Source organism: Homo sapiens, chromosome 6 (genome assembly GCF_000001405.40).
Source record: "Homo sapiens chromosome 6, GRCh38.p14 Primary Assembly".
In the NCBI taxonomy this organism is placed as follows: domain Eukaryota; kingdom Metazoa; phylum Chordata; class Mammalia; order Primates; family Hominidae; genus Homo; species Homo sapiens.
This window is the reverse complement of record NC_000006.12, coordinates 43,255,667-43,282,008: the sequence shown is the minus strand read 5'-3', so window position 1 is coordinate 43,282,008 and position 26,342 is coordinate 43,255,667. Positions and strand designations below refer to the sequence as shown.

The 26,342-nt window shown below is 55.1% G+C and overlaps 1 protein-coding gene across 8 annotated transcripts in view, besides 4 other annotated features; it reads right to left on the bottom strand.

Moving 5' to 3' along the window:
- Window positions 1-26,342, bottom strand: part of TTBK1 (tau tubulin kinase 1) — a 44,778-nt gene that overhangs the window by 6,250 nt on the left and 12,186 nt on the right. For 2 of the 8 annotated variants that reach the window (XM_017011366.2, NM_032538.3), the window contains exons 9-13: window positions 26,153-26,278; window positions 24,043-24,197; window positions 22,740-22,971; window positions 22,303-22,478; window positions 18,659-19,220 (exon numbers count right to left, since the gene is read on the bottom strand). In XM_017011366.2, coding sequence (XP_016866855.1) covers window positions 18,659-19,220; window positions 22,303-22,478; window positions 22,740-22,971; window positions 24,043-24,197; window positions 26,153-26,278 — 1,251 coding nt within the window. Of the gene's footprint in view, window positions 1-4,171; window positions 5,228-5,345; window positions 12,367-18,658; window positions 19,221-22,302; window positions 22,972-24,042; window positions 24,198-26,152; window positions 26,279-26,342 lie in introns of those variants that run through there. The other 6 variants (XM_017011364.2, XM_017011365.2, XM_011514947.3 and 3 more) reach the window with 5 other exon arrangements.
- Window positions 3,422-4,076: an enhancer, noted in NCBI's record as "H3K4me1 hESC enhancer chr6:43245671-43246325 (GRCh37/hg19 assembly coordinates)". NCBI's record gives its function as "activates a minimal SCP1, AML or CMV promoter by ChIP-STARR-seq in primed H9 embryonic stem cells {active_cell/tissue: H9 hESC(primed)}" and the evidence as "EXISTENCE:reporter gene assay evidence [ECO:0000049][PMID:30033119]".
- Window positions 4,077-4,732: an enhancer, noted in NCBI's record as "H3K4me1 hESC enhancer chr6:43245015-43245670 (GRCh37/hg19 assembly coordinates)". NCBI's record gives its function as "activates a minimal SCP1, AML or CMV promoter by ChIP-STARR-seq in primed H9 embryonic stem cells {active_cell/tissue: H9 hESC(primed)}" and the evidence as "EXISTENCE:reporter gene assay evidence [ECO:0000049][PMID:30033119]".
- Window positions 6,472-6,771: a silencer, noted in NCBI's record as "silent region_17224". NCBI's record gives its function as "represses an Ori minimal core promoter by ATAC-STARR-seq in GM12878 lymphoblastoid cells {active_cell/tissue: GM12878}" and the evidence as "EXISTENCE:reporter gene assay evidence [ECO:0000049][PMID:35858748]".
- Window positions 9,679-9,928: a silencer, noted in NCBI's record as "fragment chr6:43239819-43240068 (GRCh37/hg19 assembly coordinates)". NCBI's record gives its function as "represses an EF-1alpha promoter that drives an FKBP-Casp9 reporter gene in an ReSE screen in phorbol 12-myristate 13-acetate-treated (for megakaryocytic differentiation) K562 erythroleukemia cells {active_cell/tissue: K562(+PMA)}" and the evidence as "EXISTENCE:reporter gene assay evidence [ECO:0000049][PMID:32094911]".

Genomic DNA, 26,342 nt, shown 5'->3' with positions numbered 1-26,342 from the left:
TTGTGCAGAGCCCTTGGCAATGTGATGGACAAAGCAGTCCTTGGTTTTCTAGACTCTTGCCATGTCCCCCTTAGCCTCCTTCCTTCCAGACTAGAAAGGTCTGACCACCTGGTCAGGACCTTGGCTGCTGTGTCTCCTTCACTCTAGCTCCACCCTGTTCAATACACAGACATCCCCAGGCACCCGCAATGCCCTGGGCGCATCAGGGCTGACACAGCTTTGTTCCATGGTGGGACGGTGCTGACGATGTCCAGCACTTTGCTAGCATTTTCGAACACGCTGGGCTTCTGTCTTCCTAAGCTAGCCGAACACAGCCCATCCAGACCAGAAGCCCCGGGGATATCCTGCCTCCCCACTTTCCTGCCCATCTACGCTGCCAAGGAGTCCTGCCAAGCATCCTTCTTAAACTTCTCTGTGTCTGCTACCCCAGGCCCACGAGCACAGCCTTGCCTTTCCTGGTGGTTCCCCAGCCACCGGCCTGTTCTCTCCATTCTGCACTGCCGTCCATCCTTTTTACATCTGCCTGAGTGATCTTCCTGAAACTTAATCTGATTCCATCTCTCTCTGCTTCAAATCTGCTATGGCTGCCACAGTCCTTAGGAGACAGTTCAGATCTTTTTTTTTTTTTTTTTTGATATGGAGCCCTGCTCTGTCGCCCAGGCTGGAGTGCAGTGGCACGATCTCGGCTCACTGCAACCTCTGCCTCCCGGGTTCAAGTGATTCTCCCATCTCAGCCTCCCTAGTAGCTGGGATTACAGGTGCCCGCCACCACGCCCGGCTAATTTTTTTTTATTCTTAGTAGAGACGGGGTTTCGCCGTGTTGGCCAGGCTGGTCTCAAACTCCTGACCTCAGGTGATCCACCCGCTTCGGCCTCCCAGAGTGCTGGGATTACAGGCGTGAGCCACCACGCCTGGCCTAAGACAGTTCAGATCTTTGACTTGGCCCATGAATCCCCCACCCAGCCCTGTGACCTGGCTACTACTGGCTGCTCTGGTCTCACTTATTGCAACACCCTCCGTCCCCTGCCCCTGCCTACACTCCACGCATTCCGATGCTTCCAGAAGTTCCTAAGTGCATCTTCCAGCTCACACTTAGCCCAGGCAGTTTCCTCCACCTGGGGGCTCCTCTCACCTCCTCTCTGCACATGATAACTTGCTACCCTTCCTTCAAGACCAGCTCAAACAGCTCCTGGTCTTAGCAAAGAGGAGACAAAGCCTTCCTGTCAACTTTCCTGTCCACCCACCAAGCAGATTTACTTATTCTCCCTTTTCTACTTGTTTTCCACATCCTTCTGTGAGAGAATCTCCCACCTATTGTCCTACATGCGTGTATTTATAGGGTTCCCTCTCCTGATACACAGAGATCCCTGAGGGTTTCTTCATTTACTCCCTCAAGAAGTGGTCTTTGAATGTCTCTTGTCCTGGTCACCATGTTATAGTCTAAGAATCTGTGGATCAAGTATGAACAAGATAGAGATGGTCCTTATTTTCTCTATATCAGGAAACTAAGTGGGGATATGCACATTCCACAAAGGTTGTGATCATAAATGAGGTCATATAAGCAAAGGCATATAGCAGTTGCTCAATAAATGTTAGCTCTCTCCCACCCCTACCTCCCACCTCCTGCTCTGCTCACCTTGGTTTGGAGGTCATTGGCCCCCTCCCCAACCCCAGAAAAGCCTGGATGCCACACCTATGGGGAATAGCGTGTGGGGAAAGGAGGGGGCTCTGCCAGCCGAAGCCTCCATGCAAATAGCACAAAGCCTGGTGGAGAGGAAGGCAGAGACCTCCAAGGCTGAGGATCTGTCCAGGGCTGTGGCTGCTCCCCTTCCCAACTGCCATGATCTTCCCTGTAATCAGACCATCAGTGAGGATTTGGTGGGGGTGATGCAAGAAGATAGCTTCAGATTCCAGCAGGACCCCAGCAACCCTGTTTGGGCCAGGTAGGGAACTTTCTTAGAAAACTTTTCTTAGTTAGAAAGTTTTCTTAGAAAGCTTTCTCAGAAAGCTCCCTACCTGGCTCAAACAGGGTTGCTAGGGTCCCCTCAGCCTGGGGAACATGGCAAAACCCTGTTTTCACTAAAAATACAAAAATTAGCTGGGCGTGGTTGTGCACGCCTGTGGTCCCAGCTACTCGAGAGGCTGAGGAGATCAAGGCTGCAGTGAGCTGTGATCGCACCACTGCACTCCAGCCTGGGCAACAGAACGACACTGTCTCAAAAAACACAACAACAACAACAACAACAACAAAAAACTTTGTCCCCTCCACATATAGGCTGGAAGTGTCCAGAAGAATTTACTTTTTCTGCACAATATTCGTTCTTATTAATCCATTCATTCATTTAGCAAACACTAAGCACCAACTGTGTGCCAGGCCTTGTGCTGGGACACTTTGCCAGTCACCAATGTTATGGCTAGAGAAAATGGCTGGATAGAGGTGGAGGGGCTGCTGTAAGCTCCCGGATGAGTGGGGACCATGGGGTGGGTGGGTGCTGGCACTGAGAGTCAGGGACAGGTAGACAGACAGAGAGCTCTGAGCATGTCTCTCTCCCAACCACCTCTGAACTCACCCAACTGGCACCAGCACATCCTGCCCAGTAGGGATGGCCTTTAACTCCACCAGGCCACCCATTCTCCTCAGAACCTTTACCTATTGTCCCTCTCTAATCCCTGGCACCTTGGTTAGAGACACCCTTTCCTTTGCTCTCTGGCCAGGCCCTGGATCTCTCTGAAAAGGCCCCATGTAGAGGATGGGATCCCCCGCAACACACACACACAGTGCTCACATTGGATGGTTGTAGGTGGAACCCTTTCTCCTGCCTCCAAGCCCTCCCCTCCTATTACCTGGGAGAGAGGAGGAATGAGAACTGGAAATCAATGATCAGTCATAAAATCAGACTGGGAAACTGAGGCACAGAGAGGGGCATGGATTTGGGCATTGGTCCAGGTTATGAAGCACATCCACCAGGGTGGCCCAGGACCCAAAACTCTTTCCAGTGTCTCCCACTCAGTCCCACATGGGGACACCTGGAACCCTCTGCCTTTTGGGAGGAAGAGCCCTGAATCTCAGGGTGAGGACAACTTTGCCCTAAGGATCACTGCCACCCCCACACCAACCTAGGCATGCTGGCTTTTCGGTTTCAAAGTCCCTCTGCCCTTCCCCCATCTGGCTCTGTGCTGGGGAGGGGCAGAGGCTGGGCTCAAATTCCTCCCTCCTCAGAGAGTAGCCTAACCGTCTCCCTGCCTCTCCTGAATGCCCAGTGAATTATTCATCCATTTGCCCATTTGATCTTGAGTTCATTCACTCAGCCAGTGATCCACAGACACCGTCAGTGTGCGTGGCTCTTTAGCTGTCTGACAAAATTCACACCTTCTTGCTTCCTTCTCAGGGCAGCAACCTTTATGATTCTAATCTGCTTATTGTGGTTCCCAGGCCTGGCTTGGCACAACATTGTCCAGAGTTGCTTTTTAAAAATACACAATCCTGGATCCTACCCCCAGATTCTGTAGGTCAGAGAAGAGGCCCAGAAATCTGGCTGTTTTAAAGCTCCTTAGTGATTCAGAGTTCAGCCAAAGGCATATATGGTAAGGGTTCGGCTGTGGGGAGAGGAGGAGGACAGGCCAATCAAACTGATACCCTCAGAGAGAATGAAAGCCCCAGCCCCTCCCCTCCATGCACTGTGCCTCATCTAGAGGGCTAGGCCTCACCAGCTCAAGAGCCCAGCCCAAGTCCATGTTTACTCCAGTTAGGAGGAAAAGTGAAGGGAGAGGATGGACCAGACTCTGATCTTCAATTGCCACCAACAAAACTGGGCTCTCATGCCCTTGGGGAAACTTCTCTGACACCGACACTGGAGACGGGGCTCCACATAGCCCCACCCTTAACCCCCACACAGGGTGCATGGAGCCACTCCTGCCTGGACCCCAGCCAGCCCCAGACTTCAGGCACTGCACCCCGGCCCACAGTCCCAAAGTCCAAGATGTGGGGCTGGGAGGCGATGTGTGATGAAAGCAGGAGGGTGAGCCCTGGCTCCCCACTCCTCCTATGCTGAGGTCGGAGGCTTGTGCCTCTCACAGCAGTTCCTCCTCCTCTCTCAGAAACTGCCTCGTGCATGCCTCCCACCTCCTCTCCTCCAGTAGGGAAGAAGCACCCCCAACACCCCTGCTCCACCTGCGAGGAGATGAGATGTGCCTGCATCACCTCTGTCAGCTCCGCACTCAGCACCGCCTCTCCCAGACCCTTCACTTGCATTTGTCTGTCTGTGCCACCACTCTCCAAACGTCTCTGCCAAGCCAAGAGCCCTCCCTCCACTCCACCCCACACCCAGGAATGCCGGGGAAGGGGAAGGTGGCGGAAGGGGTAAGATGACCCGGGAACGTGGCCACCTACCCTGGGTCTATGCAGAACCACACCCACTTGACCCCACATCTCTGTGTCCAAAACCCACCCTTGCCTGCCCCAGGGCGAGGAGCTGACAGCCTGTGGGGGGCGTCTTCTAAATGCCCCGGGGCTTTGGGAATGCAGCTGGAGCTTGCCCCTTTGCCTTTCTGGTTGGCAGTGTGCGGGGATGGGGTGGAGGTATGGGGGGGCCTTCCTCTTTTACATTGTCCTCCTCACCTTTCCCCTCTCTCTCCAGTCTCAGAAGTCTGCCATTATTTCCTTCTTAGTGGCCCACCCCTCCCACTGACTGAGTTCTCCTTCAACCCATGTTCCATCCCTGCACCCCCAACCCCAGGTTCTCACAGTCCATGCTCCAGTGTCCCTCCTTGGCGGGCCACCCCCACCCTGGCACCCCCAAGGCCAGGGCTGCATCTCCCATATCTCTCAGATTGCCCATCGTAGCAGAGGGCCAGTGGGAGGCTCCTCAGTACAGTGTCCTCTCACAGGCCTCTGGCATCCTAGCTTTCTAGTCCCACCAGACACTTGGTCTCAAAAGCCTGATCCCATACAGAACTGATCACTGGGCCTGGTGGGCCCAGCCCCCTACTTCTACACACCCTCCATCCCCACCCGGAAGTTGGCAATTTGGAGCTGAGTCCCAGAGACCAGAGTCCACTCACCCCTTCCCTCCCCACCCGTTCAGTGAAAGGAGACTGCCAGCAGGGCAAGGGTGACTCAAGTCCAACTAGGCCCAAACCTCTGGGGTGCCCTCCTCACCCAGCTGCCTGGCTAAGGTGTGGACGAAGCTCATCCACTGACCCAGAACTTGCCCACCCCTCAGTCCCAGAGTCAGCAACAGACTAACCCCTGCCCTCTGCCCAGCCCGGCGACCTCAGAGCCAGGGTCTACACTGAGAGCTGGGAAAGGAAGGGGGAGGGTGAAAGAAAGCAGGCGGAGGCGCAGGTTCCTGGAAGGCGTCTTTAATCAGGATTTGGTAGTACACAAGCTCTCCGGATTGTCTGCATTAACATACAGGGACTTAAAAAGGCACAAAATCCCTCGCACAGCGACGCGTGACGGCGGGGCGCCCCCTCCCCGCCCGTGCGCGGCCGTGTGCGCGTGGGTGCGTGTCCGTGTCCCACCCCCGTGGCGGCGCCGCGCGTGTGCGTGTCGGTTTCAAGTGTTGGATTTGTACAGTACTCGCAGTCTAGGGGCAGGGGGCTCAGTGCATGCTTTTCTACCCGGGCCTGGGGCCACCCCCCGACGCCGCTATGTACACTAAGGAGGACGCACCCCGGAGAGAGAGAGGAAGAAAAAAAGCGTCCCATCTTCGTGTGCGTGTGTGTGCGTGTGAGCGTGTGTGTGGTTTTGAGTTTTTCGTGCATGCTTCCGCTGGCCAGGGTCGGGAAATAGTGCAAGCGTATAATACAGTATTATTGCAGTACAAAATGGGGGGTCGAGGGAAGGACTTACGATGGGAGGGGAAGGCTCAGGAATAAACCGACTGGGACTCAGGACCTCCGCGAGGGTCCTCTCGCTAATCCCCTTCCTATCCCTCCCCTACTCCGCCCCCACCCCGCAATTAGAAGGCGTCTCCTTACGCAGGAAGGGGCTCAGCTGGGCCCCGGTGCTGAGTTTCTCTCTCCTACCAGTCCCGCTTCTCCGGGGGCAGGGGCCAGCCCCTCTCCTCGCTCGACACTGAGAACTCTGAGGGCCCGGAGCCCCGCCCCCTCCCCCACGGAAGCCCCTCCGAGCGGGGAGCGGGGTCGACGGAGCAAGTGCAAAGGAAGCAGATGTTGGTCCCTGAGTTTTATTTTCGGGGGTGGGGGTGTGGGAAGAGCTGGAAATGGGGGGGCATGTTTGGTGACCCCCAGGGCCCTCAGTGGTGGGGTGGGGCAGGGGACGCGGATTGGGGCGTGGGCAAAAAGGGGGCTGTTGGGTTGCTCTGAGAGACCTGGGCTCAAAGCTCTGCTCCCCCTCAACTCTGGGCTCTTTGGCATCCAATTGCAAGGCCAATTATTGGGGCGGGGTGGGGGGCAGCCCGACGGGCAGTGAGGTAACGGGAGTCAGGGGTGGGGCGACAGGGCCCTCCGAGCCTGGAGGCTTAGCCGAACGCCTCCGCCTGTCCCCATCCGCACCCCAGCCTGGCAGCACTGAGGGGAGCCCCACTCCAGCCCGCCCCCGCCCCGGGGCCAGGGACCCAAAGGCCGCCAGCCAGCAGCAGGGAAAAGCAAACGAAAACGGGCGCGAAGGCGGGGCGACGGGGGCGGCGGGGGACGCGAACCCAGGGGAAGCCTCGGCGGCGGGGTGGGGCGGGAGCGCGGCGGGGCCGAAGTCCGGCGGGGGGTGCAGGGCGCCGCGGGGCGCTGTGTGGGGCGGGCCGTACATTCGTGGCGCTGGCCGCGGGGGCGGGCGGATGGACGGGACCCCTGGCTTGGGGACCTGCGGGGGTCCGGCTGCGCAGTCCTCGTGCCCTCCCGGCCGGGGCCGCTAGTGCAGGGTCCGGAGAGTGGGCGAAGTGCGCGCAGCTACGGAGGGAGAGTGTGTGAGTGTGGGTGTGAGTGTGAGTGCGTGAGGGCCGGTTAGTGAGTGGCCAAGTGGACCCCACTGCCCGCACCCCCACAGCCTGTGCAGGGAGGGAGGGTGAGTGGTGGGACTGACGGCGGAGCCAAGCGGAGGAGAGTCTAGGAAGGTTGTAGGAAGGAGTCCTGTGGGCTCCATTTCCCCCTCCTCTCCACCCCTTCCCCACCCCTCATTTGGAGGAAGCGGGCACTCAGGCTTGGGGCCTCCTGGGCTGGGACGCCCACTGGATGGTGTGTGGGGAACCAGAGGGATATGGGAGGGTTGTGGCCCTCAGACCTGGAGCCCTTCCCTTAGGGAGAAGGATGCTTGACATTTTCAGGGGCTGACTGTATGGAGGGTGGGCTGGTTCCTGCCCCTTGAGTTGAGTGTGTCCCAGGTCTAAGTGGAGTTTGGGGTAGGGTGGGATGGGGTTCAGGCCCTCCGGAGAGATCTACACTTCCATCCCCAAGTACCACATCAACCCAAGGACAGCAGAGGATACAGCATTTTCCAGGCTCCCCACACACAGCTGGAGTTGCCCCCATCCCCGGTCAGAGCCACACCCTCCCCAAGTATGGTTCCCTCCACTGCCCACTCCATATAAATACATTTACACAGCTCCTTCTGCCTACCCAGGGGCCCAAGGCTCCCCCGACCACTGCCTGAGCAAGACAGCACCACCCCTCCCCAGAAAAAGGGATCTAGGCAGGACAGAAGAGAGAGCGAGTCCGGGTGTCCTGGGACCAGCATGGCTCAGAGGTGCCACCATCCCCCACCCACTAGGCAGGGCTGTGTCTGTTTTCCCCAAAACTGGAAATGCAAAGGGATATCGTTGGGTTCAGGATGTTAGCGGTTGGGATGAGTGTTCAGTGGTTATTGCTGTGACCCAAGCTGCCTTGAGTGTGTGGGGGATGTATATTGAGTTATCGAAAATTTACTAGCGCATTTGTCACGGACCCAGGGTCCTCAGAACATACCCTCTCCCATGGAGAAAATACTAGTCCCACCAGGAGGCCCCCACTCACCACAAAAAGGTCCACTGGCCCCCACACTCATTCAGGCACTTATGCACACCACATGTATAAACACAGCACACACCACACATCCCCACTGGCCAGGTTCGAGTTCCTGGGCAAGAACACTGTCGCCTTTGAGTGCTGCAGCCCTGGACAGAGGGTGGTGCAGGAAGTCCTCAGGCTCACAGTGGTTGCAAAATGAGTTTAGGCCACCTCTGCCTGTAAACCATTTTGGTTTGGTTCATACAGTGATTTTTCTTTTTAAAATTAGATGCCAACAATTAAAAATTGGGAGATTTCAAATAAAAATTAGAAGATAGTGGCAACAATTGGTTGAGCTGAGGATGGTATGGGCATGGGAGTTCCCCTGTTTACCACAGTCCCTGAACCTGCCACTTCCCTGACACTGTTTGGATCTTGTTGATGTACGAGTTGGTGACACCCATTCGGTGTTCACAGATGCCAGTGTCTTCCCCGTCTGTGAGTCTGACCCCTAGGACCTCACCAATCCCACTGAGGTCAGGCTTTGGAGCCCCTGCTTTCTCATGCTAACTCCTCCTCTGCCCACCTGATCCCCAGAGCTGCTGTGGGATGCTTGGGGCCATGTGGGATTGAGGGGTTGGAGGTCTCTGGAGAGACAGGGTCCAGCCATTTTAACCAACCCCAGTACTCTGGAGTGACTCCCATCTGGATGCCACCCCATGGCAAGGTGGGAATGGGAAAGGAAGGAAAATATGGCTTGCTGACAACTCCCCTCTTTTCTATAGACTGAGGAGGGGGCCCACCGCAAAGGACAATCAATCAACCAATACATAGACCAAGATGTTTCACAAACTCTGTCAAACAAGACCTCAGATTATTCGGCATGGGTGGGTTTTTTATATGTTCTGGTAAATAAAATGTTCTGATTAATTTGTTGAATGCAGATAATACTGGGATCTACCTCATAAGCTATCATGAGGTTTAAATGAGTTAATTTTGTAAAGTGCTTAGATCGCTGCCTGGCACATAATAAGCACTGTGTGCCAGTGGCTATTAAATAAAATCACAAATAATTGTAAGCCACCACTAAATGCAGAGTGAGACTATGAAGTGCGAAAACACCACTTTCAAAATACAACAAAGACAGCTGTCTCTTTTCAAAGCTGACCCCGAGGAGGCTACACGCTTTCCCCAAGCAGGGTATCAATCTTGAAACATTCTGGCCTTCTCTTGGGAAATGCTTCAGAAAACAAGAGTGACAATATTGCAGGCTCACAGCATCCCCACCTAGCCTGGGAACCGGAGACCAGCAACTCGACCCAAACCATGTGAAGCTCTGCCGAGCTTCACATGAACTTAATCCAACACAAGTGGCTTAGATGACCTTAACAATCTCCAAGAGTCAAAGCCACCCCGAAAAGATAATATTATTAAGATCACCTGTTAGCTCAGAGCTTTATGGCTTACAAAACACTCTCCCCTCCACCATGGAGGATATACAAAAGGATGTCCCCCTAAAGGACAACATGCTTTGAACCATGGCCTTGCTTTAAAGGACACACCCTCTCCCACAGGTGTCAGTTCTGAGGTGGGGGGTGTGTGTTTGAAAACTCAGCCGCCTTCTCAATGCTGGATCTCCCACTTCCAAAGGCGTTGGAAACAGTAATATGTATGTAATGCTGAAATGAGGCTGAAGCCAGTGCCATCATCTTCAATATTTCACAAGGCACTTTGGGATCTTAGAGTACCTCAGGGTTCTGGTCACTGAGATGGAGCTGTGCTCAGGGTTGAGTAGTGGAACCCTCTAGAAGGGAATGCTGGATCACAGAGTGCTTGGTTTCATCCAACCCCAGATTGGGTGGGGGGGCCCTTGCCCACACTGCTGCTGACTTATGGAGCAGATGGTGGGCAGGTTCCCTTCACTTCACCTCCTGCCACTACCTGGGGTGGATGGGAAGAGGGCAAGAGGAGGTGGCTGGGGGAGGCAGTGCCAGCAGGAGGGGAGTGGGGCCACTGTTCAGCCTCACCCCCTCACCTTTGTGCTTTTTGTTTTCTGTCCCTTCTCAAAGGGTCCACCTTGACCCTCTCCTGCCTACTGCCTGAGCAGGGTGCAAAGCCATCCAAAACAGCCCAGAGGGCAACAGAGGCTTGGGTTTGGGGAGATTCAAAAGTGAGCAGCTGAGATGGGGGTGGGGGTGGGGCACAAGTATTAGAACCCAAATCTGGCTTTTGTTGCCAGATGGAGAAGGTGCTCTTGGCCCAGACATCCTCAAAAATAAATAAATAAATAAATAAATAAATAAATAGACTTACAAAGAAAGATTTTGGGGAAAGGAGTGTGTGACTATGGAGTGGCTTATGTGAATGGTGTGGATGAGCCATACCACAATGGTGGCCCTCTGTGTGGACAGTTTGGCTCCAGGGCACTGCCCACCACACTTATGGCACCCCCAGGCAGGGGCCAGGGCCCTGAGGCCTCTACTCTAACCAGAGACATCTGGGGAATTGATGGGCCAAGCAGAGGTTACAGGGAGAGAGGGGTAGAAGAGTGAAGCTGGGATGAGAGTAGCTACATAGGAAACTACCAATGACTGCATAGACATCTTTCTGGCTCCCTAACACACATGTGCATACACACACTCATACAGCACTGTGCAACTTGCGCACGTGCCAGTCACATTGAGGTCTATGTAAATGGCACTTCCTGGAATTACACAGTGCACAGCCTGAGCATTCATCCATGGCAGCCCTTCCACATGCACAAACGCTCATTCGTAAGCACACTCTTATGCACAAGTGTACGCGCATGCACACAAGCAAACATACAGACACAGTCTCACTGAAATAAACATTTTGCAAATCTTTGGGCCTCCTCCCCTCCCCATACAGGCACGGCCCTTTCTAGTACCCACTTCACTACTACCGCATTCCCCAGGGGAACAGAGGTGCTGGCTGACATGGGCAGGATGAATAAAGGGAAACTTGGGCTCCCTGCAGTGAAGGTTGGGGGCTGAGAAATGGGCAGAAGAGGCAGGCGCAAGCTGGCATCCTGACACTTCCCCACTCCCAAGTGTCCAGATCCCTATCCAACCTGCCTCTCTTCTGCTGTGTCTTCACCACCGCCCTTGGGGCTGACCGAGCACCTACAGGAAGGAGTCACCTTCTGAGAAGGGCAGAGGTGGGGCTGCTCCCGCCTGGGATTTGTCCTGAGACACTGGTTTTGCTGACAAGCACATGGTTTCTCACGTCATCCTTAACAACCACCTTAGCTGCCACTGCTTCTAAGCTGGGTCTCCTCGTTGCTCAGTTCCAGCCTGCCTTGGGAGGTGGATCCCAGGCCCCTCTCATCCATCCTCAGTTCCTGAGGAGCCGAGGACAGACACCCAATCCTACCAGGGAGTGATGGCACAGGTGTCTTGGGGGAGGGGCAGCCTACCATGGACTGAGCCTTCCTGGGGTAAGATGTGTGAGGAGAGAACTCTGTCCTCAATGATGATGGCCTGAGAAAGTCTCGCTAGGTCACAGGGCTCCTCCCCCGATCACTGAGCATTGAAACACTCCCCACCACATTCCAAACCTGGCTGTCCTGGCCTCCATCCATACACAGGGACACACACACACACACACACACACACACACACACACACACACACCATGCAAGGAGGGTCTTGGCCTCCCGCCAGCCCCTCGGGGTGGATCAGACCCAGCCATGCCAAGAGATCACAAATTAAACAGAACAAAGCCCATACCAGAGTGCCTCTGGCCCTGCAGGCCTCATCTCCCTGACACCTCTCTTTCCACTGGACTCTGGACCCATCAGTGGCTCCAGCTGAGCGCCCCTGCCCTGTCCTGGAAACTGTACCACCAGCCCCACCCCTCCCTGCACCATTTGGCTGGCACCTACAAAGGGAGCTGATGGGGAGGTGGGACGGAGACTCTGCTTGGGGTGGGAGTATTACAGTACCTTGGGCCAACGTTCTAGGGGGGCTGTATTGCATGATGGGGTGGGATGGGATGTGTGAGTGTGTGATTATTGCGTCCTGGGAAGGAACCATGGTCCTCTGCCTGCTCCCCACCCCCCCCCACCTGCCCCCTCCAGGAGGGGGGGGGCCCAGCCTAGGTCTTGTGGGTGAACCGGGCCCACACCTGCTGCAGCTGGGACCGCGAGATGCGGAGCACCGAGGGCATGAGTCTGTGGTTGCCAGCAGCGAGGGGCGCGTGGCGCCGGTGGGGCGCCCGCACAGGGCTGCTCTCAGCCGAGCGGCTGCGCTGAATGAGGGAACCGGAGGAGCCCGAGGAGCCGCCGCCGCCGGGGTGAGGGTAATGCTCCGTCTCCAGCGTGGAGGAGGAGAACACGGAGGACGCCAGTCGTCGCAGGGGGCTGTACCGCGGGAGGGAGTGCCCCGAGAGTCTGTCCTCCTCCAACTGAAAGAGACCAAGAAAGTGGAGGGAAAAGAGGTGTCAGGCACAGACTCGACAGCTCCGTCTCCGGGGCCACCCACCGCTCACAGCCCCTGCGGCGCCGGCGTCCCGGGCAAGTGGGCGGGGTCAGGCAGGGTGGAGGAGGGTGCAAACCACCCGCCCCAAGGTCCTGCCTCAGAATCTAGGCTCTGGCCTCCAACGCCCTTCCCCCTCCTCCTTCTCTCTGGAACTTCTCACACTATGGTCTCTGCAAGGAGACCATGGTCACTCACCTCCTCCGAGAAGCCTTCCTGGCTTAGTCCTACCTAGCTCAGGGTTGTTCTGGACTGGGGAACCCTTTCTCTCAGGAACGTGGCTGTGTGCTCTGAGAGAGTTCCTTGCCATGTGTTGACAGCTGTGTGTGGCATGTCTCCCCAGCTAGATTCCGTGCTACTCATTAGGGCTCAGAAACTTTCCCTGTACACCCTCCGCCTTGGCACCCCCGCCCCATCACAGGGAGGTGTTGGGATCGGGGTGACCATGCGGCATAAGGTGGTACTCTAGAGCCCAATTACTCGTGTTTGAATCCCAACTCCACCACTTAAAATCTGAGTGACCTTGAGCAAGTTACTGCACCTCTCTGAGCCTCAGCTTCCTCCTCTGTAAAATGGGGGTCATAATGGTGCCCACCTCAAAGGGTGGTCGTGAGGATTCGATGTTATAAGATGTGCAGTACTTGGAACAGCACCCGCCATGGAGTAAATGCTGTGCTCTTCACTGAGCTATTTTAGTATCTAATTTTAAATCACTCTTCCAAATGAGGGAAGGGATGGACTCGTAGGAGGAGGGGCAAACTGAAGTCATTTCTTGAAAGTGGCTTTTTCCCTGCCCCCTCAAAGTCTGAGCCACCAGGCAGCTTGTGTACAGGGCTGGGCAGAACTGCTGCCTCATCGCCTTCTGGAAGAATCCTGCTCTGTGCCCCCATGCCCTCCGAGTGAAGTGGAAGTGTCCCAGATATGTGGGGGTAGAAATGGCGCCCAGGGTGTTACCAGACCTCTCCCAGCCTGACCCTCTCTCTTCCTGAGACAGAGGCCAGTTGAAATAGCTTTTACAGCAGCAGCAAGGACTGCCTGGGCCAGCTCCTCCAGGAAGGAGGGGGCCTGGGACACTCAGCCCCAGCATCCCTTGCTGCTGTCACATGGGGGCACAAGGGACTTGGCATGGAGCCTCCAGCAGAGTAGGGAAGAGGGAGAACATTCTAATAGGACTGGCTTTGCTCCCACCTTGCTTTCCGTTTCAGCTTCTTTTTGGCCAAGTCTAGGATCCTTCTGAGCTAGTCCCATCTGCACCAAGGGTTAGGGGTCTAAGGCCCACCCAGAGAGGCCAAGGGACAGAGGCACCACCATTGCCCAAAGCCCCCTCTCACAGCACATGTGGGTGGCTTGAGTTAACATTCCAGCCAGAGTTTGCTCAGCTGCCAGGCAGAAGGATTTTCATAGGATGGCATTGAATCCCAGAGGGCTCTTGCCCTTCAGATTGGGCACCACTTGTGGCCACCTACTTGTCTTCAACACCAGTTGAAATATCACCTCTGTGAGACCGCTCCAGCTCCCTCCCCTGCAAGCTCCCAGCTTCTAGCAGATAAGAGTGCTCTGTTATCTCCCTGATGGACCTGGATTGTTAACATCTTTCTAGACCTTTGCATCTCCACCCCACTGCTTGTGACCTTGAGCTCCAAAAGGGCAGGACTGGGCAGCTTTATTCATCTTTGTCCCCCAGCCCCTAGCACACTGTCCAGCACGTGGCAGGGAAATGCTTTGGTGGCTGCCGGGCAGTGTCTGTGTACTCAGCGCATGCTGACCTGCTGTGCTATCGGTCAGAGACAACCGGTAAAGGCAGGCAAACAGCCCTCCCCCAGATCACACACTTGCTAGCCTGCTTCACCCTTGCCCTAGCTTTTCCCGCAACTCCTAATTTGCACCTTAAATTTCCTTGAGAACAAAGCCAGGTGTGAAAAAAGAAAAAAAACAAAAACAAAAAAACCCACCATCACCAAAGAACAATAGATACTTTAAAATTGTGCCTGCTTTCACACTGTTTCCCTCCCGGTTCCCCACATGTGCAGGTGACAGAGTTGTAGGTGCTCATAGTTTAAATGATTGGTGTTATGAGGAAGTTCACACATCAGGCACTGAGAAAATTGAGGTAGGTCTAGAGAGGGCGCCTCCAAAAAGGTGGTGGGAAAGAGGGAATTCAGCAGAGACTTCCTGCCTGCCCTGAGCCGCATAATCTCCGCCTGTGGGTGGAGAGTCCCAAAAACTGTGATTCTAGGAAGCAGCCAGATTTGGGAGGTCCTGCCATAGGCCCAGGCTGGGCTCACCACTTCCTTCAGGCCAGCCCAAAGACAGAAGAAAAAAATAGGCCAGTCCATTTCTCCCTGCTCCTCTACCCTTGATGAAGGAAGATCTCTGCTTCACCCCGCTGTCCTGAAGTACTTGGCGAAACATGTTGTACCCCATATGTTCATCCAGAGACACACACAGAGGCTGCCCTGCACACTGACATGGCCACAGGCACACCTGCTGACATGGCCCAGACAGTGGGTATGCACAGAACACACACACACACACACACACACACACACACACACACACACACACACACACACGCATGCTCCAGGCTCTCTCTGATCCTGCACAAACCATCTGCTCTCTCTGGCCTGTATGTTTTCTGTTAAACTCACAGACCTCAGGCTGGGCGCGATGGCTCACGCCTGTAATCCCAGCAATTTGGGAGGCCGAGGCAGGCAGATCACCTGAGGTCAGGAGCTCAAGACCAGCCTCAACATGGAGAAACCCCGTCTCTACTAAAAATACAAAATTAGCCGGGTGTGGTGGTGGTGCATGCCTGTAATCCCAGCTTCTCGGGAGGCTGAGGCAGGAGAATTGCTTGAACCTGGGAGGTGGAGGTTGCAGTGAGCCGAGATCACGCCATTGCACTCCAGCCTGGGGAACAAGAGCAAAACTCCGTCTCAAAAAAAGAAAAAAAAAAAATTCACAGACCTCAGACGGAATGGCTCAGAGCTCAGCTCTCGGAACGAGTTGCCTGGGTTCAAGTCCCGTTGCTAACACTTACCAGCTGGTGGTCACCAGCTGAGCTAAAAACTTTGCTTCTCTGAGTCTTAGTTTTCTTACTTTTAAAATCAGGATTCCCTGTTCACAGTGTTGTTGTGAAGAATATACATGTAAACATGAAAGTGCTTAGGACAGTGCTAACTATTGTTGTCATTATTAGAATTATTACTCCAATTGTTACCATCAATAGAAATGCTTTGACATTCTAGGCATCTGTGGTTCTGTACACACTTGCAGACCTGCTGCATATTCTACACAAATGCAATAATGTGTGCACCCACATGCAGGCACATACATGTGGACACATCCATCCACCAGTGCACAGCTCGAGCTCCGCTGACACAAACGCACATGCACAGGGGCAGAGTGCTAACCAACCTCGATTCTATACACTGTGGGGAACCCGAGGCCCACAAACACCTCACCCCCAAAGACACACACAACTCATCTCTTGCTGACATAGGTAGTGCCAGTCCCTGTCACAAGCAGGACCCGAGCCCGAGACTGATTACAGAATCGGCCTGTGCTTCCCCACCCCACCAAATCTCTCTCTCCCCACCCGCTTGGCCAGAATTCCCCAAAGTGAGGATGAGTCCCAGGACACAGGTAGGAATCTGCAGGTAAGAAAAACTTTAGAGATGAACCTCGGAAGAACCTCAGCTCCCTCACCTGGAGACCCAGAAAGGGACACTGACTGGCCCTCAGTCACTGGGAAGGGAACGGCAGAGCCAGGTCCAGACCTCAGTCTCCTGACTTTAATTCTCGGCTCTCTCTTGACACTGTCTGTCACCCTCCCTAGACTCTGCACTTCCTACGGGTACAACCTATTGTGCAAGTCACCTCTGATGCCTGTGGTACATGGCACACAGTAAATACTCAGTGAGTGTGGATGAATAAACGGGAGCGGAGCAAGGACCCCAAACACATTTTGCTCCCTCTCCTGCTGCCTGGTGCTGGGTGTGGTGGGAGCAATGGCTAGTTACAACGCAATGGTGCCAGCCCACTTGACTGCCAGGTCTGCCAGGGCTGCTCCTCCAACTCAGGCCAGCTAGGGCCTCTCTGGGTGAGGACTCACGGGCCCCACTTTTTGAGCCCCCAGTTTCCAGTGTCCAGGCAAGGCCTGGATGCATACTCCCCAGGATCACAGCTCAGAGGTCCTCTCTTCTAGAAGGGACCTCTAGATAGGGATGGGGTCTGCATACACTCCTGCCCACAGCTGCTTTTCCCAGGGCACCCATGTGATCCCAGGCAAGGCCTCCCAATCTGAGCAAGTGGTAGAACTGGCCCCTGGCCCAACACCTGGGCACCTCCCAGAGCCACCTAGAGTGTACGCCCCCAATGTGGGACCACTATGTGGAACGCGGCACAGCCCCTGAGCCCCTTCCGGCATCCCCTCCATGACTCTCCCCAGCCCCTCTGTGGGTTCATGGACCCCATTTGGAGTTTTCCTCCATTTCCCAGGTCAGAGTTCAGCCTCTGTCCCACACAGCAAAGCCTGGTCAGGCCAGTGGCTCTCTGCCTATTCTGACACCCTGTCCTTGTCAGAATAACCTAAATATCATGAGACATTTTGCAATTTGGCCACCATCTGGCCCCTCCCTGCCCTTCCAGCCTTGTTCCTCAGTCCTCCCACACAAGGAGTTGCCATTGCAGCCAGACTGGGCTCTCCCAGGGCACCCAACACACCTGTCCCTGTGCTCAACTATAGTCTCTCTCGCCTTGGCTCCACTCCTCCCCACGGCCATCCACCTGGCTCTCAGAGCTCACCTCCTCCATGAAGCCCGCCCTGATCATGGGAACCACTTCCCACTCCTCCCTGCTGCCCTCCAGACCTCTCCTGCCCTGATTTCGAGGACCTTCTCCCCTGTGCTCCTCCCATGCTCCGACCTCTCCCTCTCACTCATCATGCAGAGCTCCTTCTCCTCTCATTCCCCCTAGATGTGAGCACCTCTCAGCTTCTGCCCTCACTTTTGGGTTCCACACCCTGCACAGTCCTTTTGGGTAACATCACCCATTCCCATGGTTTCCCAAACCCCGAAATCTGTATTTCCAGGCGAGATCCCTCTCCTGAGCCTCAGGTGCCTACACGTGGACATCCCTTAGATTCCATGAAGTTATTATATTTATTTTATTTTATTTTATTTTATTTTGAGTCAGAGTCTCGCTCTGTCACCCAGGCTGGAGTGCAATGGCACAGTCTTGGCTCACTGCAACCTCTGCCTCTTGGGTTCAATCAATTCTCATGCCTCAGCCTCCCAAGTAGCTGGGATTACAGGCAGGCACCACCACACCCGGCTAATTTTTTGTATTTTTAGTAAAGATGGGGTTTCACCATGTTGGCCAGGCTGGTCTTGAACTCCTGACCTCAGGTGATCTGCCCACCTTGGCCTCCCAAATTGCTGGGATTACAGGCCTGAGCCACCGCACTGGTCAGATCATTGTATTTAAATCTGAATTCTCATTCCCTTCAAAACCACTCAGGGCATCAGCCGAGACACGAGACGCCCTGGCCCCCACTCCATCACAGCCTGCTTGACCTATCCCCAACACCCTTGGCACTATCCACCTTGCCCCACATCCACAGCCCCACCTCAGCCCAAGCCACTGGGACACTCTCTTGCCACTGCCTGCCACGTGGCCTGCTTGCATCTCATTTCAGGCCATTTCAATCCATTTTCCACACAGCAGCCTAAGGATCATTCAACAGTACCAATGTAATCATATTGCACTCCTGTTTAAAAGCCTTCAGTGGCTCACCAAACCTGCAGCATCAAGTCCTGGCCCCTTAGTATAGCCCCAAGTCCCTCCGTGGCAGGGCCCAGGGCTGACCTCACAGCCTTGTCTGCTGCAGTGTGCCATCAGCTCAGTGTTCTCAGATCGCCCCCTCCCGGCCTGTGCAAAACACTGTGCCCGTGGCCTGCGAGGCCCTTCTCCTGCCTTGTCACTTGGCTTCACTGCTCATAGTGCCAGACTCAACTCAGAACTGAGAGGGCACTTCCTCTGGGAAGCCTTGCCTGCCCCTCAAACATGGTTTCAGACCCTTAAGCCTGTCTACCTCCATCACAGCCCTGTGACTGCTGGCTTACTGGTCAGTAGTGCCAGCACACATGGAGCACCCCAGGCCTACACACCAGGACTCTGGGCATCTGGAGATGGGGAGTGGGGTGCAAGCCCAACCTTACCTGTCTCTGTGGGCCTGTGGGGTCCGACTCTCTCCGTCGAGGGCGGGGTCCCGAGTGCAGGGGTGAGTGGGAAGGGCTGCCAGGCGTGGGGGGCTGTGACGTCTCGGAACGGCCATCGCCCTGGCTCAGCTGGGGTGGCAGGGGCTGGGGCGGCAAATGCTGCAGGTCCTCCTCCGCCAGCGCCTGCATGCTGCGTCCCCGGGGCCGGACGGTGGGCTCTGCCCCCAGCCGCCGCCGCTCTTCGCCCTCCTCGGGCAGTGGCCGCAGCTCCTCGGGCTCCTCATCCGTGGTGCCCGATGTGCTGGGCTCAGCCCCTGGAGGGAAGTCCTTGAGCTCCGTCTCCTTGTCGATGATGACCCACTCTTTGCTGTCGAAATCCTCCTCCTCAGCCAGCGGCACCGAGCGGAAGGCGTTGCTCAGGGCCTCCTGCTCCACAGAGGCTGACACGTCCATGCGGCCACTGGCCTGTCGGTCAGCGTGGCCTGTGTCCACTGACAGCATCTGGGCTGGCTGAGAGGAGCAGGCCTGGCGCGAGGGCGAGCCAGGCAGATCCATCCGTGACCTGCAAAGCCACCCCTCACGGGGCTCAATACCTGGCCCCACTGGACCCCCAAGGACCCCACGCCAGCGGCAGGGTGGGGCGTGACTCCCAAAACCTCCTGACCGCAGTACCCCTCCCACCCTGAGCCAGGCCAGTTACCTCTAGGTTGTCACCCTCCAACCTCACTTCCTATCAAGGCTTTGTTAGTTCGTTTGTTAGTTCGTTCGTTCATTCATTCATTCATTCATTCAACAAATGTTTTTGAATGCTTACCGTGCTCCAGGAATACAAACAAGCAGAAAATAAACTCGGGTTTCTGTGCAAGGAACGCTCTCTCCTGGGCCACCCTAGGGAAGCTAATCTTCCTCAGGCAAGCTTTGTTCTTGCCTCTCCAGTGCTCACACCCGCCAGTGGCTGCTTCCTGCTGCTTCCAGGCAAACACACCCAACTGGCCCTTGAGTTTACAGAGGGCTTTCCAGCCTCCTCTGCCATCACCCTCCAGGCCTGCCTGGCTGGTTTCATCACCCCCAAGATGGCCTTGCTAGTCCCAGCTCAACAAACTCCAGTGACTCCCCGGCCCCAACAACAAAGTCCACATTCCTTGGTTTACACTCAAGGCCTCTCACAGCCTGAATACAGCTGTCTCCCCATTTCCCTCACCAGCCCCATCTCAGATTCCACCCTTACGGCCCACCCCCAATGTAGCCTCTCCCCACAGGACCTCTCCCCACACACAGCCTGTCCTTCTACCCTTTGCTGTCTGATACAGGTTGGCTGTCACCTTGGGCAGGTAGCCTGCCTTTCCCATCCTACAAGGATTAGTGCGTTCTATCTCTCTCTCATCACAGGGTGAACCTCATGTCTGTCACATAATCTGTCTCCCCAAGAGACTGTGAGCTCTGCTGCGCAGGGCCTGGGTCCCATCTGACTTTACCCCAAGGGCATTGATCCTGCCTTGGGACATCTCTTCTGTCGTTATCTTTTTTTTTTTTTTTTTTTTTGAGACAGAATCTGTCACCCAGACTGGAATGCAGTAGCATGATCTTGGCTCACTGTAACCTCCACCCCCCAGGTTCAAGCTATTCTCCTGCCTCAGCCTCCTGAGTAGCTGCGCTTACAGGTGCACACCACCACGCCTCCCTAATTTTTGTATTTTTAGTAGAGATGGGGTTTCACCATGTTGGCCAGGCTGGTCTCAAACTCCTGACCTCAGGTGATCCACCCACCTTGGCCTCCCAAAGTGCTGGGATTACAGACGCGAGCCACTGTTCCCAGCCTCATTATATTGAACTGTGCTGTGAATCTCACATTACTTTCAGAGCTTCTCAACTTGGGGTCATGCCAGCCCCAAGAGGAGGATATTTCTGATTGTACAGTAGTGTGTGTGTGGGGAGGTGCTACACAAGAAAGAATCGCCCTCTCTCAAATGCCAGGGTACCCCACTGAGAGCCAGCACGGAGGCCTAACCTATCTGGGGTTTGTGCCACTCCCTCACATTCAGGCTGTGGGCAGGGGGCTGACTTTCATTCTCCCCCAGCATCGAGCCTGTGGTTCAATGGCTCTTCAGCTGCAGAGGCAGGGGTGCAGATCAGAACTGCCTGTGGGGCTTCCTTAAAATACCACCACCCCAGCCTACGTGGGACCTGCCCAGTCTGACTGTGCACAATATTTTCATTGACTTGTTAATAAAGACTTAAATAAAACATCCTTGAGAGAGGCCACCTAGGGTCTTATATTTATGCTCCCATGTCAATGGCTGATATCATTTCCTTTCTGAGGCACAGTTTGTTTTGATGGATGTAAAGGGGAGAAAGGGTGCCAAAGAAGGCTCAGGGCTAGTGGTGCTTGTGCGTGTGTGTGTGTGTGTTTGCATGTGTGTGTGTAATGGGAGCTCAGACGGAGGGTTGGAGACAGGAGACAGTGGGGTGGGAAATCCAAATCTCAACTGCTTTTGTACTGTCTCCTGCTCCCGAGTGCCCCAGAGCCCATCCAGACCCTCTGCTGTCTATGATATCCTGTTCAGCCCTCAACTTTCTCTACCATCCCTGCAACTGGGGTTCACTGTGAGCCAAACCAGTTTGCTTCTTGTTTTCTAAAAGCAGGCAGCCCTTCAGGACTGTCTCATTCAAGGCATTTCCCACCTCTCTTCTCCACTCATATCCCTTCCCAAACTGCCTTTCCTCATTTCTCCGTCTCCAGGGAGAGGGACTCCAGGCTACCACAGACAAAAATGGTGGTCTTCAGTCCTACGTAAGCCAACCTGTGTGAGTGTGTAAGGACTGAGGTTGCTCACAAGGAGACACACAGAGTGGATGCCAGAAAGGATACCCCTCCTATCCCCAGGACTGGGTCTTTGGAAGAGACCCCTTTTCTGGTGCAGAGAAGGCCCCAGTCCTACTGTGGAGTGAAGTCCCACTCAGAGGCCAAGGGAAGATGGAAACATCTCTCAGGGGCCTCCCCACCTGATGTTGTCCCACCCACCACCAGCACAGATGGGGACCGGGCCCTGGCCCTTGTTGTCCACCCACCATCCGAGGTCAACAGACCATTCTCCCACCCTCCCATCTTCACCTCCTAAAGGCTCACCTAGCTTCTCAATGCTCCTTTTCCCCAACTAGGTTCCCGCTGGTCCCCTCCCCTCTGTGACTTCAGATCCTTCAGCCCTAACCCCCAAAACTTGCCCTGCTCTCTCTTCCAGCAATTCCCAGGCCCCCTCCCCCAAAGCTGAAGAGAGCCTACCTCAGCTGCACTTGAAGTGTCTATAATTAGTCTCTAGGAGAAGAGATTCTGGAAGCACACACACCCACCAACCAACTCGCCCCTCACCCTTCCTGGGCCCAGGCGCCCCACCTGTCCCTCCTGCAGCCTGCACTCACCCAATTACGTTTCCTGGCATGAGCCGGGACCTCTCTGGATCCCCCACTGGTTCTCCCAGGCCCTGTCTCTGGCCCCAACTGAGTCTGACCCCAGGCCCAAGTATAACCCTCTCAGCACTTCCCAGGGTCTGCCCACCTCCGCCACACATCTAACTTTTCCTCCAGACCAGCCACGTGAAGGCGGAGAGGGCCTTGGGCCCCAACCATGCCCCTGGCCCCAGACCCACCTCCTCTCAGGTAGCTCCACTCGCCCGTCCGCCGTGGACAGCCTTTCTGACTCAGGGCTGTTCACCCTCCGGTAGCGCAGAGAACGGACTGGGGTTGTGGGGGAGTCTGGGGGGGCACGCACTGGGGAGCTGGGGACCCCCATGCCTCGGCTCTGTTCCTCCTCCACACAGGGGCTCTGCAGGAGAGGGGAGTGCCATGAGCTGGGGCTGATGAGGCGGCTGTGGGCGGATGGTCTCCTCAGGGTGAAGGAGACAGAGGATGATGATGATGGAAGACACAGCGAGGCTAGTGCGGGGAGGGACCGGGAAACAGAGGCAGGGCAAGCAGGCAGATGGCCGGGGACAGGGTGCTTAGGAGGAACAGGGCAGGGGCACAAGGCTGGGAATCGGGGGTGAGAGAAAAGGCCACCCACGCCCTTCGCCCTGGCGGCAGTTACTTTGCCGATGTTGATCCGGAGTTTGTTCCGGTTGACATCTGTCTCCTCCCAGACTTCAGCCTCAGGACCCCCGGGGTGGGGGACAAGGTGGGGACTGGGGCCCAGCCCCTCAGAGGGCCTCCCGGGCAGAATTGGGGGTGCATTCTCCTGGTCACTCAGGTGCTCTCCCTGTAGCACATCCTCGGTGTTCTCCCGGAGCAGGTCCCCAGGCACTGGCGTCACATTGACCACCCTGGAGAGGGCAGGAGGGAGCCATGGGCAAGGCTGGCAGGGGTGCCCTCTCCTTCCATGGCCCTCTCCTACCAGCACAGACCTGGAGACCACCCCCAGGAGCGGGCACAGAGGCAGTCCCGTCAGGGGTGAGAGTGTCCCTAGGCCCATCACCATTGCTGGCCCACAAAGCCTCTGAGACCAGACGACCCTCAAGTTGGCAGGGGCCACAAGGAGATGTAGCCATCTAGCTCTGTTGACTTAGTGGATCCTGCTGTCGTTCAAGGACCTGCCAGATTTCCATTGGCGTTCACTGTCTGGCTTCCTTTAGACCCAGGAATGGGTCTAAAAAGGAGAATCACTTTGGAGATCCTTTTAAATTTAGTTTTCTTTTATTATTATTTTGCAGTCTGGGAGCATAGATTGAAGTTGCCCTGAATATACACTTAAATTTTTTTTTTATTTAATCTTCTTTGATGATTAAACTTTCGAGTTCTTTAAGCAATGTCTGTATGGAACTGGGCACTGTAATGTGCTACCAACTCCTGTTAAGTCTCCTTCCTAAATGTGTCCCCTGAAGCCCCTGCCCACCTCTCTCCTTGGCTTGCTCCTGGGGCTGGGTGGAGAGCCCCTTCTAACTCCAGCTCCTCCCTCGACCACCTCTGTCTTTGTGCCTGTCACATGGTTCTGAAATTGCTGACCCATCGATTTCAAACATCCCAGACTCAGCTGAGAGTGCTTTGGGGGCAGGAGCTGTAACTTTCAGGTGTATGGCCTCAGGACATGGCTGTTAAATTCATGCATATGAATGATAAGAAACAGATAAACTGTGGGGCTCAGGTAATTTCGCTTAGGGTTCCCTGCTCCCCCAGGGACCCACTAAGGTTAAAAACTCCAAATGAGGAAGATGCCCACTCTATGCTCAGATTGAGGGTGGAGATGTGGCAGAGTTTCCCAAAGTCCCAGAACTCCACTAAGGATAGGAAAGATAGCCAAGTGTGTCCAGATAGGAAGAGAGGAGAGGAGAGGACCGCCTGCCCTCTTAGGTAACAGCTCCAGGCAGGGGCTGGTGGCTCGCCTTCCTGAGACTCACCCAAACATGGCTGCCGTCTGCCGGGTGTTCTGCTGGGGCGGGGTAGAGGTGCTCGTGGACAGGAGGGCATCGGTGCCTGCCTTCTCCCAGTCAAAGGCCTCATTCTCGGCAATGCCCCTCTCCTTCATGCTGTTCTCAAACACTGACATGATCAACTGCAGGGGGTGAGGGTGATGGGAGGACAGAGAGGTGATCCGGGGGCTAGCCAGGAGGAAGGGGCAGTTGCTGGGATCATAGGAGGAAGACAGGGACTTTCCAGGACAGGAATGGGCCTGGAGGGGGCATTGGAAGGAGAACGGCACATTGATTTTAAATGAAAACATGCACATGATATGCAAATCAACATGCAAATTATCATCTTGGATTAAGCCCCACTGACTGGACATGAACCCTCTGAGATCTGTCCCCTGGTTACCATCTTCAAACCTCCTCTGCCATTTCCACCATGTCAGCAACCCTAAACCACTGGGAGTTTCCAAACCCATGCATGGGGTGCTGCCTCTGCACAGACTGCCCCTCTGCTGGGGCGCCCCTCCCACTCATCCTCTCCTCTCTGCAGCTTCCCTTCTCTTCACCGTAAATTCTCTCCACCATACAGCTGCCCTACAGGGCACAGTGCATCAGTTTGAATTGTCCACATGCCTATCTGTCAACTCTGCATCCCTAGCAGCCAGCACAGGGCCCCAGCCTGGGGGGTGCTCGCAGCTGTGTGGCTTTGGGGATCCCATGAGGCTAAGCCAAGATCAGGGGGCGTCTCTGCCAGGCCCTGGGTTCAGGAGGTGGCAGACAGCTATAGACCCTCTGAGGTCCCCAGAACACTCCACTTCTGGCTTGGCTGTCTCCAGAGCACAGGGCAGTTTCTCTCTGCTGAGAGGACCGGCTTAATTGAGTGCATCCTGTGTGCCTCAGGCTGTCTCTACTCCTACAGTATGCAGCATCGTGCCTGGCGTGTAGTGGATCCCAGGCAGAACACTGCTGATGTTTCCCCCATTCTCTGATCAGGGTCAGTGGGTCCCATGGGGTGTGGTGATGGACGCTTGGAAAGAGCCCTGGACTCGGAGTCAGAAGATGTGCCTGAGCCCAGCCCTGCTCCTAACCACTATATTGGGCCTCAGTTCCCTCATCTATGAAATGGGCATGATCATCCCACTTGCCTCCCGCAGAGTTTTCATGTAAAGTACTTAAAAGCATTTGGCTTCATTAATTGTTTTTGTTTATTTGTTTGTTTGAGATGGAGTCTTGCTCTGTCACCCAGGCGGGAGTGCTGTGGTTTAATCTTAGCTCACTGCAACCTCCACCTCCCAAGTTCAAGCGATTCTTACACTTTAGCCTACTGAGTAGCTGGGATTACAGGTACCCACCACCACACCCGGCTAATTTTTGTATTTTTAGTAGAAACAGGGTTTCACCATGCTGGCCAGGCTGGTCTTGAACTCCTGACCTCAAGTGATCTGCCCACCTCGGCCTCCCAAAGTGCTGGGATTACAGGTGTGAGCCACCGCACCGGCCAGCTTCATTAATTGTTAAGAGCTGGGGCTGGGCACAGTGGCTCACACCTGTAATCCCGGCACCTTGGGAGGCCGAGGCAGGTGGATCAAAAGGTCAGGAGCTTGAGTTCACCTGGCCAACATGGTGAAACCCCATCTCAAATAAAAATACACAAATTAGCCGGGCATGGTGGCACGTGCCTGTAGTCCCAGCTACTCGGGAGGCTGAGGCAGAAGAATTGCTTGAACCCAGGAGGCAGAGGTTGCAGTGAACAGAGATCACGCCACTGCACTCCAGCCTGGGTGACAGAGCAAGATTATGTCTAAAAAAAAAAAAAGAGCTGGAATAATAATATAAGGAGCATTCATCATCATCAAAGGCTTGCTTGGAAGCTTAAATGAGTGAATGCATGAAAAGCACTGAGAACAGGGTAAGCTCTTGATAAATCTTGGCTGTGACTAGTTTACAAGAGCATACATGCCTTTAGTGCAGTTAGAAGACCAAGGGGAGAGGCTTGGGGACAAGGCAGGGCTGTGGAGCCTCAGCAGGAGCGAGGTCTGCTGGGGGACAGTCACTCACAGAGTGGTGTCGAGGGAGCGGGGGCAGGGTAGCAGGCTCCCACCTGGTAGTCGGGCTTGGTGAAGTAGTCGAGGCTGGCAATGTGGTCCAGGAAGAGGTGGAACTCTGACGGCATGTGCTTCAGCAGCATCCGGTGCTCATACTTCTCCTTGATCATCCCTACCTGTTCCTGGAGGCAAGAGGCCACAGGGAGATGGAGTCCCAGCTGCCCTGACACTCCTTCTGCCACCTCA